The 13,793-nt window shown below is 53.1% G+C and overlaps 1 protein-coding gene and 1 long non-coding RNA gene across 5 annotated transcripts in view, besides 1 other annotated feature; one reads left to right on the top strand and one right to left on the bottom strand.

The window, feature by feature from the left end:
• Window positions 1-8,782, top strand: part of GRAPL (GRB2 related adaptor protein like) — a 31,599-nt gene extending 22,817 nt beyond the window's left edge. For 2 of the 4 annotated variants that reach the window (XR_007065298.1, NM_001129778.3), the window contains one exon: window positions 7,914-8,782. Coding sequence is in view for 3 of the 4 variants with exons in the window: in NM_001129778.3 (NP_001123250.1) it covers window positions 7,914-7,971 (58 nt within the window). In the remaining variant the exon portion in view is untranslated. Of the gene's footprint in view, window positions 1-3,286 lie in introns of all 4 variants that reach the window. The other 2 variants (XM_017024636.3, NM_001353418.2) reach the window with 2 other exon arrangements.
• Window positions 4,241-12,219, bottom strand: GRAPL-AS1 (GRAPL antisense RNA 1). Its single transcript, NR_160285.2, has 4 exons — window positions 12,040-12,219; window positions 8,374-8,467; window positions 8,057-8,215; window positions 4,241-5,600 (listed from the first exon to the last, which is right to left on the bottom strand). It is a non-coding gene; the product is annotated as a GRAPL antisense RNA 1 (long non-coding RNA).
• Window positions 8,020-8,545: an enhancer, noted in NCBI's record as "H3K4me1 hESC enhancer chr17:19061738-19062263 (GRCh37/hg19 assembly coordinates)". NCBI's record gives its function as "activates a minimal SCP1, AML or CMV promoter by ChIP-STARR-seq in naive H9 embryonic stem cells {active_cell/tissue: H9 hESC(naive)}" and the evidence as "EXISTENCE:reporter gene assay evidence [ECO:0000049][PMID:30033119]".
• Window positions 12,220-13,793: the final 1,574 nt, after the last annotated feature.

The raw sequence follows: 13,793 nt of genomic DNA on the forward strand, positions 1-13,793 counted from the left end.
GCAGTGGTGAGATCTCGGCTCACTGCAACCTCCACCTCCCAGGTTCAAGTGATTCTCCTGCCTCAGCCTCCAGAGTAGCTGGAATTACAGGTGCAGGCCACCATGCCCGGCTAACTTTTGTATTTTTAGTAGAGACACAGTTTTACCATGTTGGCCAGGCTGGTCTTGAACTCCTGGCCTCAAGTGATCTGCCTGACTCAGCCTCCCAAAGTGCTAAGATTACAGGCATGAGCCACGGCACCCGGTCTTGGCTTGTTTTCTTGACAGATCGTTGCAACAGGGTAGGACAGGCACACTTATCACTGTTTAACAGATGAGCAAAGTAAACTGAGGTGCAGAGAGGGGCAATAGCTGGTGGCCCAGCTGATAGGCTGAGATTTTCACATGTCAGTCAGAGCCAGGGACCAACATCTATCCACTATTCTCTGCTGTCCTCTCTCAGAGCGCCCCTTCTTTGGAAATGTGCATAGCACCTTTCTACAAGAGACTCTTAGTGTGTTCTGAGAAAGCCGTAGCTCCTCACCTGCCTCAGAAGGGCACGGTGCTTGCTTCTTCAGAAAATTTACAGACAAGTTTCACACACTTAAAACTTTCAGCTTGGCTTGAGAGTTAAAACATAACCACTCCAAACTGTAATACAAAGAAGTCTGCTCAAAAGAGTAGCATTTGACCAGCCTGGGCAACATAGGGAAACCCCATCTCTACAAAAAAAAAAAAAAAAGTACAAAAATTAGCCAGACGTGGTGGCACATGCCTGTAATCTCAGCTACTCAGGAGGCTAAGGCAGGAGAATTGCTTGAACCCAGGAGGCGGAGTTTGCAGTGAGCTGACATCGCATCACTGCACTCCAGCCTGGGTGACAGAGCAATACTCCATCTCGAAGAAAAAGAAAAAAAAAAAAAATACATGCACAGAAAAAAAGTTCAATCAGTGCATAAGGACATATGCAACAAGTCTCCCTCCTACTGTTTCTCCTGATCTGCAGGTCCCCTCCCTAATGGCAATCACTGTTACAGTGTAACAGAGATTCTGACATAATCTTATTGTATGTATTTCCTTCACCCCCACGCATGGAAACAGTAACTCCCTCCACACACTACCTCATGCTTATATCATTAACAGTGTAACTCTTGGAGATTGTTGCACACCCACCAAAAGAGAACTGCCTTATTCTGTTTGTTTGTTTGTTTGTTTTGAGACGGAGTCTCTGTCGCTCAGGCTGGAGTGCAGTGGCACGATCTCGGCTCACTGCAACCTACGCCTCCCAGGTTCAAGCAATTCTCCTGCCTCAGGCTCCCGAGCAGCTGGCATTACAGGCATGCACCACCATGCCCAGCTAATTCTTTTGTATTTTTAGTAGAGACTGGGTTTCACCATATTGGCCAGGCTGGTCTTGAACTCTTGACCTCAGGTGATCCACCCGCCTCGGCCTCCCAAAGTGCTAGGATTACAGGCGTCAGCCACCACGCCCAGGCTCTTTTTTTTTTTTTTTTTTTTGAGTCAGAGTCTTGCTCTGTTGCCCAGGCTGGAGTGCAGTGGCACAATCTCAGCTCACTGCAACCTCCGTGTTCCAGGTTCAAATGATTGTCCTGCCTCAGCCTCCCGAGTAGCTGGGACTACAGGCATGCACCACCATGCCCAGATAACGTTTGTATTTTTAGGAGAGATGCGGTTTCACCATGTTGACCAGGCTGGTCTTGAACTCCTGACCTCAGGTGACCCACTGCACCCGGCCCAAATTTTTTTTTTTCTCAGACGGAGTCTCACTCTGTTGCCTAGGCTGGAGTGCAGTGGTGTGATCTTGGCTCACTGCAACCTCTACCTCCCAGGTTCAGCGATTCTCCTGCCTCAGCCTCCCGAGTAGCTGGGATTACAGGCATGTGCCGCCATGCCCAGCTACTTTTTTGTATTTTTAGTGGAGATGGGGTTTCACCGTGTTGGCCAGGCTGGTCTCAAACTCCTGACCTCAAGTGATCCACCCACCTTGGCCTCCCAAAGTGCTGGGATTACAGGCGTGAGCCACCACTCCCGGCCCCTGATTTTTGTATTTTTAGTAGAGATGGGGTTTCGCCACATTGGCCAGGCTGGTCTCGAACTTCTGACCTCAGGTGATCCACCCACCTCGGTCTCCCAAAGTGCTGGGATTACAGGCGTGAGCCCCTGTACCCAACCTCATTCTTAAAGCCTTCCTATATTTAACCAGTCCCCAGCAGATGACGTACATTATACCCTGCATTCTGTTTCTCATACATGTTCTTGCGCAAATTTAACTGCAGGGTAAGTTTCTAGAAGGGAAATTCCATAGTCTAGACTAAAGGTTACTGGTAGGCCAGGTATCTCAACCTATATTTGGTTCTCAGATCCAAAGGTAGGATTTACAGAACAAAACTGCTTCATGTTCAGTGGGGTTTCACATGCCAGCTGCAGGTGAGAGCTCTGGGGATTTGCATGCTGTCAGCCAACACCCTAGCCACCTGGAGAGGTCCTCTGTTGAATTAACTGCCCAGCATCTGTCCACCCTGTGGACCACCCACAGCAGTGTTGCCTTCAAAAACTTGCCTGCTGGTCGGGCACAGTAGCTCATGCCTGTAATCCCAGCACTTTGGGAGGCCGAGGCAGGCGGATCACATGAGATCAGGAGTTCAAGACTAGCCTGGCCAACATGGTGAAACCCTGTCTCTACTAAAAATACAAAAATTAGCGGGGCATGGTGGTACACGCCTGTAGTCCCAGCTACTTGGGAGGCTGAGGCAGGAGAATCCCTTGAACGTGGGAGGCAGAGGTTGCAGTGCACCGAGATGACGCCACTGTACTCCAGCCTGGGTGACAGAGCGAGAATCCACCTCAAAAAACAAACAGGCCGGGCGCGGTGGCTCACGCCTGTAATCCCAGAACTTTGGGAGGCCGAGGCAGGTGGATCACGAGGTCAGATCGAGACCATCCTGGCTAACACAGTGAAACCCCGTCTCTATAAAAATACAAAAAATCAGCCGGGTGTGGTGGCGGGCGCCTGTAGTCCCAGCTACTCGGGAGGCTAAGGCAGGAGAATGGCATGAACCCGGGAGGCGGAGTTTGCAGTGAGCCAAGATCGCGCCACTGCACTCCAGCCTGGGCGATAGAGCGAGACTCCGTCTCAAAAACAAACAAACAAACAAACAAACAAAAAACTTGCCTGTTAATTCTCATTTCTGAGATCCTGCAGCTACCTTGGGTGGTGGCCTGTCCAAGCCTGGCCTTTGTTTTGTTTTGTTTATTTGTTTTGAGACAGTCTTGTTCTGTTACCCAGGCTGGAGTGCAGCGGCGTGATCATGGCTCACTGCAGCCTCAAACTCCTGGGCTCAAGCGATCCTCCCACCTCAGCCTCCCAAGTCTTTGGGATTATAGGCGTGAGCCACCGTGCTGGCTTGCCTTTGGTTCTCTGAACTACTCCAGTTCTTTCCACTAAATCCACCCCCCTCTTTTTTCCCCTTTGGTTAATCAGAATCCATATCTTTTGCTCCAGATCAAAGAACCCTACCCGATGATCCCTTCTCCATTCACAAAATCAATAACATACTCAAAATCAATAAACAGCTGACCGAGCACAGTGGCTCACGCCTGTAATCCCAGCACTTTCGGAGGCAGAGGTGGGCGGATCACAAGGTCAGGAGTTCGAGTCCAGACTGACCAACATGGTGAAACCCCGTCTCTACTTAAAAAATACAAAAATTAGCTGGGCGTGGTGGTGTGCACCTGTAATCCCAGCTACTTGGGAGGCTGAGGCAGGAGAATGGCTTGAACCCGGGAGCCCGAGATTGCAGTGAGCTGATATCATGCCACTGTACTCCAGCCTGGGTGACAGAACGAGACTCCATCTCAAAAAAAAAAAAAAAAAAAAAAAAAAAGAATGTGGCCGGGCGCGGTGGCTCACGCCTGTAATCCCAGCACTTTGGGAGGCCGAGGCAGGTGGATCACCAGGTCAGGAGTTCGAGACCAGCCTGGCCAATTTGGTGAAACCCCGTCTCTACTAAAAAATACAAAAATTAGCCAGGCATGGTGATGGGCGCCTGTCCCAGGCTGTTTTTATGTTATGTGGGGATGAGGCACTGACCCTGTGGGCCGGGATCTCTCTGGGGACGCTTCCCTTGCTTTTTGTCTACACTCCTTAAGGCAAACTACTTGGGAGGCTGAGGCAGGAGAATCACTTAAACCCGGGAGGCGGAGGTTGCAGTGAGCTGAGATCGCGCCACTGCACTCCAGCCTGGGCGACAGAGCAAGAATCCATCTCAAAAAAAAAAAAAAAAAGTAACAAGACTCTTAACAGCTGTGGAGATCTGTGCCTATTCTGAGTGCTTCTCCACTACTTCCTGATACTGATTTAGCTCTGTGTATATATTTGTTGAAGTAATGCTTAGATCTTAGTTGTATTCATCCAGTGCCCTCCCAATCATGTTTTGTGTGGAATAGCAAATCACTTTCTGCTTGTATTCCAAAAATGTTGCAGAAAGACTTGCCACCCTGCTGGGGACTGTCCCTGCCCCCTGACCACTTCTGGCCTGCCTTACACTCGATTATTTTGGGCAAAAAGTGCAAATCAAGACTGAGATGTCAGGCCAGGTGCAGTGGCTCATGCCTGTAATCCCAACACTTTGGGAGCCGATGGATCACTCAAGCCCAGGAGTTCAAGACCAGTCTGAGTAACATGGCGAAAAAAACCTGTCTTTACAAAAAGTAAAATAATTAGTGAGGCGTGATGGCATGCGCACACCTGTAGTCTCAGCTTCTCGGGATAGTCACAGCTACTTGGGAGGCTGAGGTGGGAGGATCACCTGAGGCCAGGGACACAGGTACATCAAGGCTGCAGTGGGCTGTGATCACACCACTGCACTCCAGCCTGAGTAACAGAGTAATACCCTGTTTCAAAAAAAAAAAAAAAGAAAGAAAGAAAGAACAAACAAAGAAAAAAAACAAAAAGGAAAAGGAAAAAGAAAGAGAGAGAGAGAGAGAGAGATAATCCAGGACTTTTTTTGAAGGGAGAGGGAAACAGGACTGTCTGACACGCGGGAAAATTGCTTGAATTCTCCAGCCTTCCCATTTGGATGCTTTTCTCTTTGCGTGAACACAGCCATAAGCTGGCTCGTTATAGAGGCATAGGCAGTGGTTGAAAATACAGGTCCTAGCAACAAGGAAGTCTGGGTTTGAATCCAGACTCAGCCACTTTCCAGCTGTGTGACCTGGGAGAAGTCACTGTTCCTCTCTGAGCCTGGAGCTACCTGCATCACTACCCTGAACTGATGAATGGAAAGCACTTGGTACAAAATCCAGCACATACTTGGCACACATAACTCACAGCTCGGTGTAATTAGAAGAATGCCAGGAGGACTGGCCTGCACGCTGGAAGGGGCTCTAGACAAGGCTGACCATCAGGATCCACTGGTTGGTCCAGAGATCTCGGAACAGACTGGTTCTCCCCGCCGCTTCTGCCTCCCACTCACCTCCACCCGTTCATGCAACTGTAGTTTTCTTAGCCCCTGAAACCGGGTTGGGGCTGCCGCAGGGGCCATCAGGCTGTGAGGGAGGCTGACGCGGACACAGTAGGTAAGAGGCCAAGATGTACAGTCCTGAAAGAGGGCAGGAGGCTGGTGACTCAGTGGGTGAGAAAATGCAAAGGCTGGGGCTATCTTAGCCCAGAAAAGGACAAATTTTTTTTCCCCAAATTATTTTCCTTCTTTTGTCTCTTTCTCCCCTCCCTCTCTCGCTCCTTCCTGCTTTTCTTCCTTTCCCTCCGTTACTTTCTTTAATCCAAAGGAAATTTAAGTGGAGGACATAAAAGCATATGCTGTTATTAATTTTTGCAAATGTCCTTAACTGAGAGGCACTGAGCAGAAAGAAGAACACAATTGCATCTCCATTATCTTCATCTGGGCCACCAGATACCAGCCACCCACTCTCTCAGACAATGGCAGAAAGGACAAGCCAGCCCCCAGGGACCCGGCCCTGCCAGCTTACCTGTTGGCACACCTCCCCTGAGCACTGCAGCCTCACCAACTGTCTGGGGTCCCTGAGACTGCCTGCTCACACTCACCTCTGAGCCTTCCTGTCTGCTGTTCCCTCTGCCTGGAACATCCTCTCCACTCCCCCTTAGACCCCCTCTAGCAGCTGTCCTGGCTGACTGCTAATTGGCTTTAGGATTCAGGGAGGCATCCTGCCTTGGGTGCCTTCTTTGATGGCCACAGATCAAGTTAGGGGTCTTCTCTGGCTGCTTATCCTCATAGCACCTGCTCCCGGATGTGACAGACAGCTTCAGTTTTGTCACCCTGTGGTCCAGCAGCTTTCTGAGGGAGGGCTGGGACCAGCTCTCATTTACCTGTGTCTCTCACCCCTGCAAGGTTCTGGCCACAGCAAGCAATGCCTAAGCACATATTTGTGGAGTAAAGGTATAAAAGACAAGGCATCCCAGATGGGCGTGGTGGCTCAATCCTAGCACTTGGAGAGTCTGAGACGGGAGGATCACTTGAGGGCAAGAGTTTCAGACCAGCCTGGGCAACCCAGTGAGACCCCATCTCTACAAAAAAAACATATTTTTGTTTGTTTGTTTGTTTGTTTGTTGTTTTTTAATTAGCCAGGCGTATTGGTGTGCACCTGTAATCTCAGCTACTTGAGAGGCTGAGGTGGGAGGATCTGTTAAGCCCAGGAAGTTGAGGCTGCAGTGAGTTATCATCCCACCACTGCACTTCAGCCTGGGCAATGGAGCAACACCCTGTCTCAAAAAAAAAAAAAAAAAAAAGGCAAGACATCAAGACATCCCTGGAGGAAGCCACTCTGTAGACCACAGGCTAACAGAGCATGGTTGAGCAGGGAGGAGTTGGGAGCTGCACCCAGCACCTCACACAATGTTATCATGGAGCTGGGGACAGAGCAGGTTCCAGAGCTGGGTTTGAGTCCCAGCTCCTCCGATGATGATATGACACCCCAGACATGTGCAGGGATGTCCTCTAAGCCTCAGCTTCCTCACTGCAATTTGGGGCTCTGTCTCTTTCTGGCAGGGAGTTATTGGGAAGACCAAATGAGATCATGTCCCCCTCCCAAACCCTGCAAGGCCTTTGCGTCACAGTTAGAATGAAGTCTACATATAGCCCTGTCCACTCGCAGCCTGCCTCCCTTCCCCATTCGCACCCTTACACACGGAGCCCCCTCCAACCTCCCCCCCACACACACTGAGCCCTGTGCTCTTTCCTCTGCCCAAATGGCCCTTCCCTCAGACATCTAGATGTCCATCCTCCTTCCCTCAGTCTGCCTCTCGGAGCAGTCTTCCCGACCACTACAACGATGCCTCCCCAACCCCGGCCTGCGTCACTCCCCACGCCCACCCTGCTTTGCAGCATCGCTCCCTGGCTGACATTACATCATGCATTTATTTCTTTGCTTATTGTCTCCCTCCCCTCCATGAGGGCAGGAACCTTCATCTGTCTTGTTGACAGTAGCATCCCTAGAACCTAGCTCAGGCCTGACTCACAGTGTGTGCTCAGTCCACATTTGGGAAACCAATGGAGAGATGAATGGCACAGAGATGCGCTCAGGAACCCAGTTCCCTGACCTCCCATCCAGGCTGCACCCCTCAGGAGTCTAGGTTCCTGCTGATTGGTAGAGTTCAGGACCCAGGGCTGGAAAGTGTCCACCCACAGGGCAGATGGGCCAAGGCCACGTGCTCAAGGTGTGCAGGGCTAGGAGAGGGGGTCAGCCCCAGCTCCCATATGAGGGGCATGTGCCTCGCCTTGCCCCTGCTTTGGCTAGAGGGTACCCTGTTCACCAGAGATGAGCCTAGGCTCTCCCCGGGCCTGGCTCTGGCTTTACCCCAGAGCCCTCCAACTCGCAGACCTCCAGGCAAGGAGGGCTGGGGACCCACCCGTACCAGCCATTTGCCTTTTCTCCAGTAACAGAGCCCAGAGGGGTCCCTGCCTGGGCCCAAAATCACACAGCAGATTGGGGTAGAGCCGGAGAGGACCCGAGACTCCTGTGCCAGCCTGGGCATCCCCTCCACTGCCAGGGAAGGACTGCATCCAAGTCGCATCCGTACCCAGGCCGAGGTGTCCGAGGCCCAGGCTGAAATCCGGTTGCTGCTGCAGAGACCAAGTTTCCAAGGCCTTGTCAAGTGGGCTGTGCCAGACGATCCCCAGGCCTGTCATTGGCTGCTCTTCGGCTCGGACACACCAAACCTCACCAAGCACTTCCATTTCTGAGGGAATAGAGGTTGTGGCTTCCGTCAAGCACCCATTTACCCCACCCTCCTCCTCCTCTTCCTGCAAACTTGAGTCACAGCTGCCCTGCTGGGCTCAGGCCCCAGGGATGTCTGAGTCAGCCTGGCTGGGGTTCCAGTCCTGACACCGCCCTTACCAGCTGGGAGACTCCGGGAACCTCCAACCCTGCTGAGCCTCCACTTCGACATCCGTGAAACAGCCATGAATAAGCAGGTCTCAAAGGTCGACTCCTGTATGCAGGGACACAGCATGCAGTAGGTGCCCAATCATAACAGCAGCACCCACCTGGAGCCCCTTATAGCAGCCCTTCTCCTCTGCACTTCCACATGGCATCTCATTTAACCTTCACCACAACCCAACTAGGAAGGCACCATCATTATCCCATTTTACTGATGAAGAAACTGAGGCCCAGGAAGGTGAATTTACCAGCCAGCTCACAAATGGACTAGTAGATGGCAGTTTGTGGATTGGAGCCCAGAGGCTGTGCTCCTGCCCACACCCTCTCAAATGAGGGCTATAAAATAACACTCTAAGAGCTCTTCCTACGTGCCTGGCAGTGTACTAAGAATTTGAGTCTTCAGTACGTTCAATCTTCACAACAGCCCTATGAGGTGGGGGTTATGAGGAGCCACCATTTTACAGATGGGTAAGTCAAGACACAGAGAGAGGATGTGGCTTGCCACAGACCACATGGCTGGTGAGCATAGGAGCCAAGATTCCAACCCGTTTCCCATCCTGGCCAAGAATAACACTCCTGCTTCTTCATTTCTCCGAAAGAAGCCATGCTGTCTCCATCCCTGGCTGTGACTTGGGCTGCTTGTCCCTTCTCTGCCCACCCACCCACCCCCAGGGCTGTGCCGGGGAAAGAAGGTGGTTCCTGGAGCCCTCTAGCCTCTGAAAAGCATGGCAGTGGCGCAACGTAGAGGATGGGCTTAAAGCCAAAGAAACACAGCTTCTTTTGTTGTTGTTGTTGTTGTTTGGGTTTTTGTTTTTGTTTTGTTTTGAGACAGAGTCTCACTCTGTCCCGAGAGTGCAGTGGTGTGATCCTGGCTCTCTGCAAGCTCTGCCTCCTGGGTTCACGCCATTCTCCTGCCTCAGCCTCCCGAGTAGCTGAGACTACAGGCACCTGCCACCAAGCTCAGCTAATTTTTTGTATTTTTAGTAGAGACAGGGTTTCACCATGTTAGCCAGGATGGTCTCGATCTCCTGACCTCATGATCCACCCACCTCGGCCTCCCAAAGTGCTGGGATTACAGGCATGAGCCACCGTGCCCAGTCTTTTTTTTTTTTTTTTTTTTTTAAGACGGAGTCTTGCTCCGTTGCCCAGGCTGGATGCAGTGGCACGATCTCGGCTCACTGCAACCTCCACCTCCTGGGTTCAAGCAATTCTCCTGCCTCAGCCTCCCGAGTAGCTTGGATTACAGGCGTGTGCCACCACGCCTGGCTAATTTTTGTATGTTTAGGGTTTTGCCATCTTGGCCAGGCCAGTCTCGAACTCCTGACTTCAGGTGATCCGCTCACCTCGGCCTCCCAAAGTGCTGAGATTACAGGCGTGAGCCACCATGCCTGGCCAAGAAACATGGGTTCTAATCCCAATGCCCCCGCTTCCTAGCTATGGGACCTTGATTGAGTCCTGTACCGTGCCTCAGTTTCCCCACTTATAAAAAGAGGTTACTAAAAAGGATGCTTCACTCAAGGGTGTGAAGACCCAGTGAATGAAGTGTTAATAAGAGCTCCACGTATAGCGATGCTGCTGTTCAGCTGCACCAGGGTGGACTCCCTTGACTTGCTGGGAGTTACAATGAGGAAGGAAGGACCGTTAAACCTGTAGGTCTTTCCAGAGAAAGTGCGTTTCCTAAAACCAAATCCTGCCCTTGCTCCAAAACTGTCAGTGGTGGTTTCCCATGACCACGCCACAGTCCCAGGGTCTCCCCTGGCCTTCAAGGCTGGCACAGTCTGACCCTGCCAACGTCCCTAGTGCCACCATCTGTCAGCCCCTCCTTGCTCCTGCTCCTGGTCTGCACATGCTGTTCTCTTTGCCAAGAATGCCATTTCCCCAGCCCCCTGGTCCCGATGGGGAACACCTCCTCATCCTTCAAAGCCAAGCTGGAAGGGAACATCTTTGGAGATGCCGCTTGACCTCCCAGGCAGAAGGGGTCATTCTCCCTGGAGATGTGGTCACGTCATTAACCACACTGGGTTAGAATCATCAGAAGCTGTTCCTGCCTCTTCCGTCAAGCAAGGGGCTCTGGAGGCCAGAAAATGCCTATGAATCATGCCCACACCCCCAGAGCCCAGCATGGGGCGGGCTCAGGTTAGGTCAATCGTGTTTGAAGACTGAATAAATGAATGTCTTCATTTGCTACCCTCAGAAGCCCAGTCCGGAAAAATATTCCAGTGCAAGGTTTTTGGCTTGAATGAGATCCCAAGAATCACCTTCAGGTTGTCAGGAAAATGATACAGGGAAGGGAAGGAGCCAACAAAGGGTATGGGAATGAGCACATAACACTATGGACAGCTGGGGAACCTTGGGCGATGATGCAGAACTGTTTATCACTAACTCTCACCAGGTCAGTTGTGCATCAAGGCTACTCGGGGGATAGCACTTTACAGCCTACTCTAGCACCACGGTGGCCTTCTGGGGCAGGGGCCAGCAGGCTGCAGCTGCTGGATGAAGCCCCCAGGCAGAGTCGCTGGTCCTCAGGTGCTCAAGCTTAGCTGGAAGCCTTCAGGTTGCTGTGCAATGGAATAGTGAGTACCCAGAGGATATGTGCGTGTGTTACAGTGAGTGAGTGAATGAACGAATGAATGGAGAATCAAGAAAAGAGCCGCGTATCTTCAGTCATTGAGCAGACACGGGCCTTCTGCTGTGTGGCCCTGGACGAGCCATCATGCCTCTCTGACCCTGGTTTCCTCTTCTATAAAGCAGGAATGCTAGCCCAGCCTCCCAGGAGATAAAGGGTGGGAGGTCCCCAGAGAGTGAGAAGGGTTCCACCTGGGCTCCCAGACTCAATCTCAGCTCCAGGAAGCAGGACATGGCCCCAGTGAGGGTTCTCTGTGGGTGAAGAAGCCACAGAAGGCAGGCACAGTGCCCTGGTTGGAACCACAGGGGCCCCGAAGCAACCACATCATGGCCACCACAGCCTCCACCATCCCACAGCAATTTCCGCTGCTGCCTCTCCCAGGGCAAGATCTCCCACCAGTGGCTGGCTGTCCCCTCTGCCAGCACCTGCCCCGGGTGGGCCCTGCAGCATGGCCATGGCTGCTGCAAGGCAGGCTGGCAGCTGCTCCTGTGTGCAGCAGCGTGTCTGCTTTGAAAAGCCACAGAGACTCCTGTGGTTAGGGGCTCATGTTACAGTAGCACACGTTCGAATCCCAGTTCTACTACTTGTGACTGTGGGAAAGTAATTTCACCCCAGTCCTCTCTGGTCTCATTGATCAAATGGAACTAACATTCTATTGTCCCCTCTGGTGGTCTCAACTCCAGCAGTTTGTGAGATGGTTGCCTTCACTGTTTTCCCTACTGCAAAACCCATAAGGACACAGTTATCTTGCCTCCTGCCCCAACCCCAGGGTCTTGAACACAGTAAGTGCTCGATAAATGCTTGGTAAATACATGAATTATTGTCTGACCCGCCTTGCTCTTCCAGTCCAAACTTAAATGTCGCCTCCTCCAGGCAGCTTTCCCTGATTCCTTCCCCGAGTTCCCAGAATCTCTTCCAACTCCTTTAACCTCTTTCCTGCAGCTGCCTGGCCTACTGGGTGTGGCCGCCAGTTATCGGACCCCGCACCCTCCACCTACCTTTCCCCAGGTTTGCGCGGGGCCTGCCGGCCTGCCCGCCCGCCCCGAGGGAATGAAGGGCTGGAAGGAAGGGGAGGGAGAAAGGAGGCGGCGCAGATACATCCAGAAGGGGAGGCGGCGGGGGATTCTCGAAGGCCCGGCCAAGACCCGCAGCCTCAGCAAGCCAAGATGCGAGCAGGGGGCCGGCCGGAAGGAGGCGGGGGAGGGGCGGCCAGGGAGCTGGACGCTAGCGGGCGGACGGGCGGGGGCGGCGGGGGTGGCGGGAGGGTTGGGGGCGGGGGCCTGGTATTTCCTGAGGCCCTTCAGGAAATGCTCTGGGCCGCCCCTGGGCGGGATCGGCGGTGGGATGGGTCTGGGAGGGATCCACAGGCTCCTTCCCTGCGCTGCCCTGGACTCTCTGGCGCGCTGTCTCTGCGGGCCCTCTTCCCCGTCGAGGAGGCGCTGCTCAAGCCCCATTTCACGGAGGAAGAAACCAAGACTCAGAGAGGGCCACCGGGGTCACAGTCTCTCCTGCACAGTTCTGCGGCTGCGCCAGCGCCGGCCCGCTCCCTCCACGTCCCCGGCCCCTGTCAGGGCTGCGGCAGCCGCAGAACCCCCGGGCCGGGCTCCCTATGGCAGGGCCAGGGCGGAGGACTGGGAGACGGGGCGGGAAGGCGAGGCGGGGCCCGGCGTATCCCACGCACAGACCGCGCAGCGCGCACAGCCCCGGCCCTCAGGGAGAGCAGTGCTGGCTGCCCTGCCCCGGATCGTCCTCCCCTGCCTCGGCCCGGACACGGCCAGGCAGGACCCCGCGACACATCCGACGCCCCACCTCACACTCGGGACCCTGAGACACTCACTGTTCACCTAACGACTCGCTCCCTCCTCCGCTGACGGAGGAGTCAGTCCATCGGGACTGGATGGGCTCCGTGTGCTCGAGTTCAAATCCTGCCTCACCACCCGCTGGCTGGCGCTTTTCTTGTCTAAGAAGAGCACCGCAGTTCCCTCTGTGTGGTGGGGATAACAGCACAGCCTGCCTCAGAAAGTTGCAGTGAGAACTAAATGCGTTCTGCTGGGCGCGGTGGCTCAGGCCTTAATCCTAGCACTTTGGGAGGCCGGGCCTGAGGACGGCTTGAGGTCAGGAGTTCGAGACTAGCCTGGTCAACATTGTGAGACCCCCCCCCCCCCCGTCTCTACAAATTTGTTTTTTTTTGTTGTTTGTTTGTTTGTTTTTTAGCCGGAGTCTCGCTCTATCGCCCAGGCTGGAGTGCAGTGGCGCGATCTCAAGTGAGCGATCTCAGCTCACTGCAACCTCTGTCTCCCGAGTTCAAGCGATTCTCCTGCCTCATCCTCTCGAGTAGCTGGGACTACAGGCGCGTGCCACCACGCCTGGCTAATTTTTTGTATTTTTGCTAGAGACGGGGTTTCACCGTGTTAGCCAGGATGGTCACAATTTCCTGACCTCGTGATCCGCCCGCCTGAGCCTCCCAAAGTGCTGGGATTACAGGCGTGAACCACCGCGCCCGGCCTACAAAATATTTTTAAAACGCGTCGATCAGTATAAAGCGCTGTGCCTGGCACATCCTGTGCTCAATCTGCTATTGTGACAAAATCGTGCTCAGGCCCCTGCCACCTGCAAACAAAGTCTCTCTCTCTTTGACATTTTCCCACCACCGTTTCAACCTGCGCAGTCTCTCCTTTTCTCTCTCCTTCTGAATTTTAACAAATATCCCTCTTCTGTAAAGTGGCTGAAAAAAAAAAAAAAGGAAAACAAA

Source organism: Homo sapiens, chromosome 17 (assembly GCF_000001405.40).
Source record: "Homo sapiens chromosome 17, GRCh38.p14 Primary Assembly".
Taxonomy (NCBI): Eukaryota; Metazoa; Chordata; class Mammalia; order Primates; family Hominidae; genus Homo; species Homo sapiens.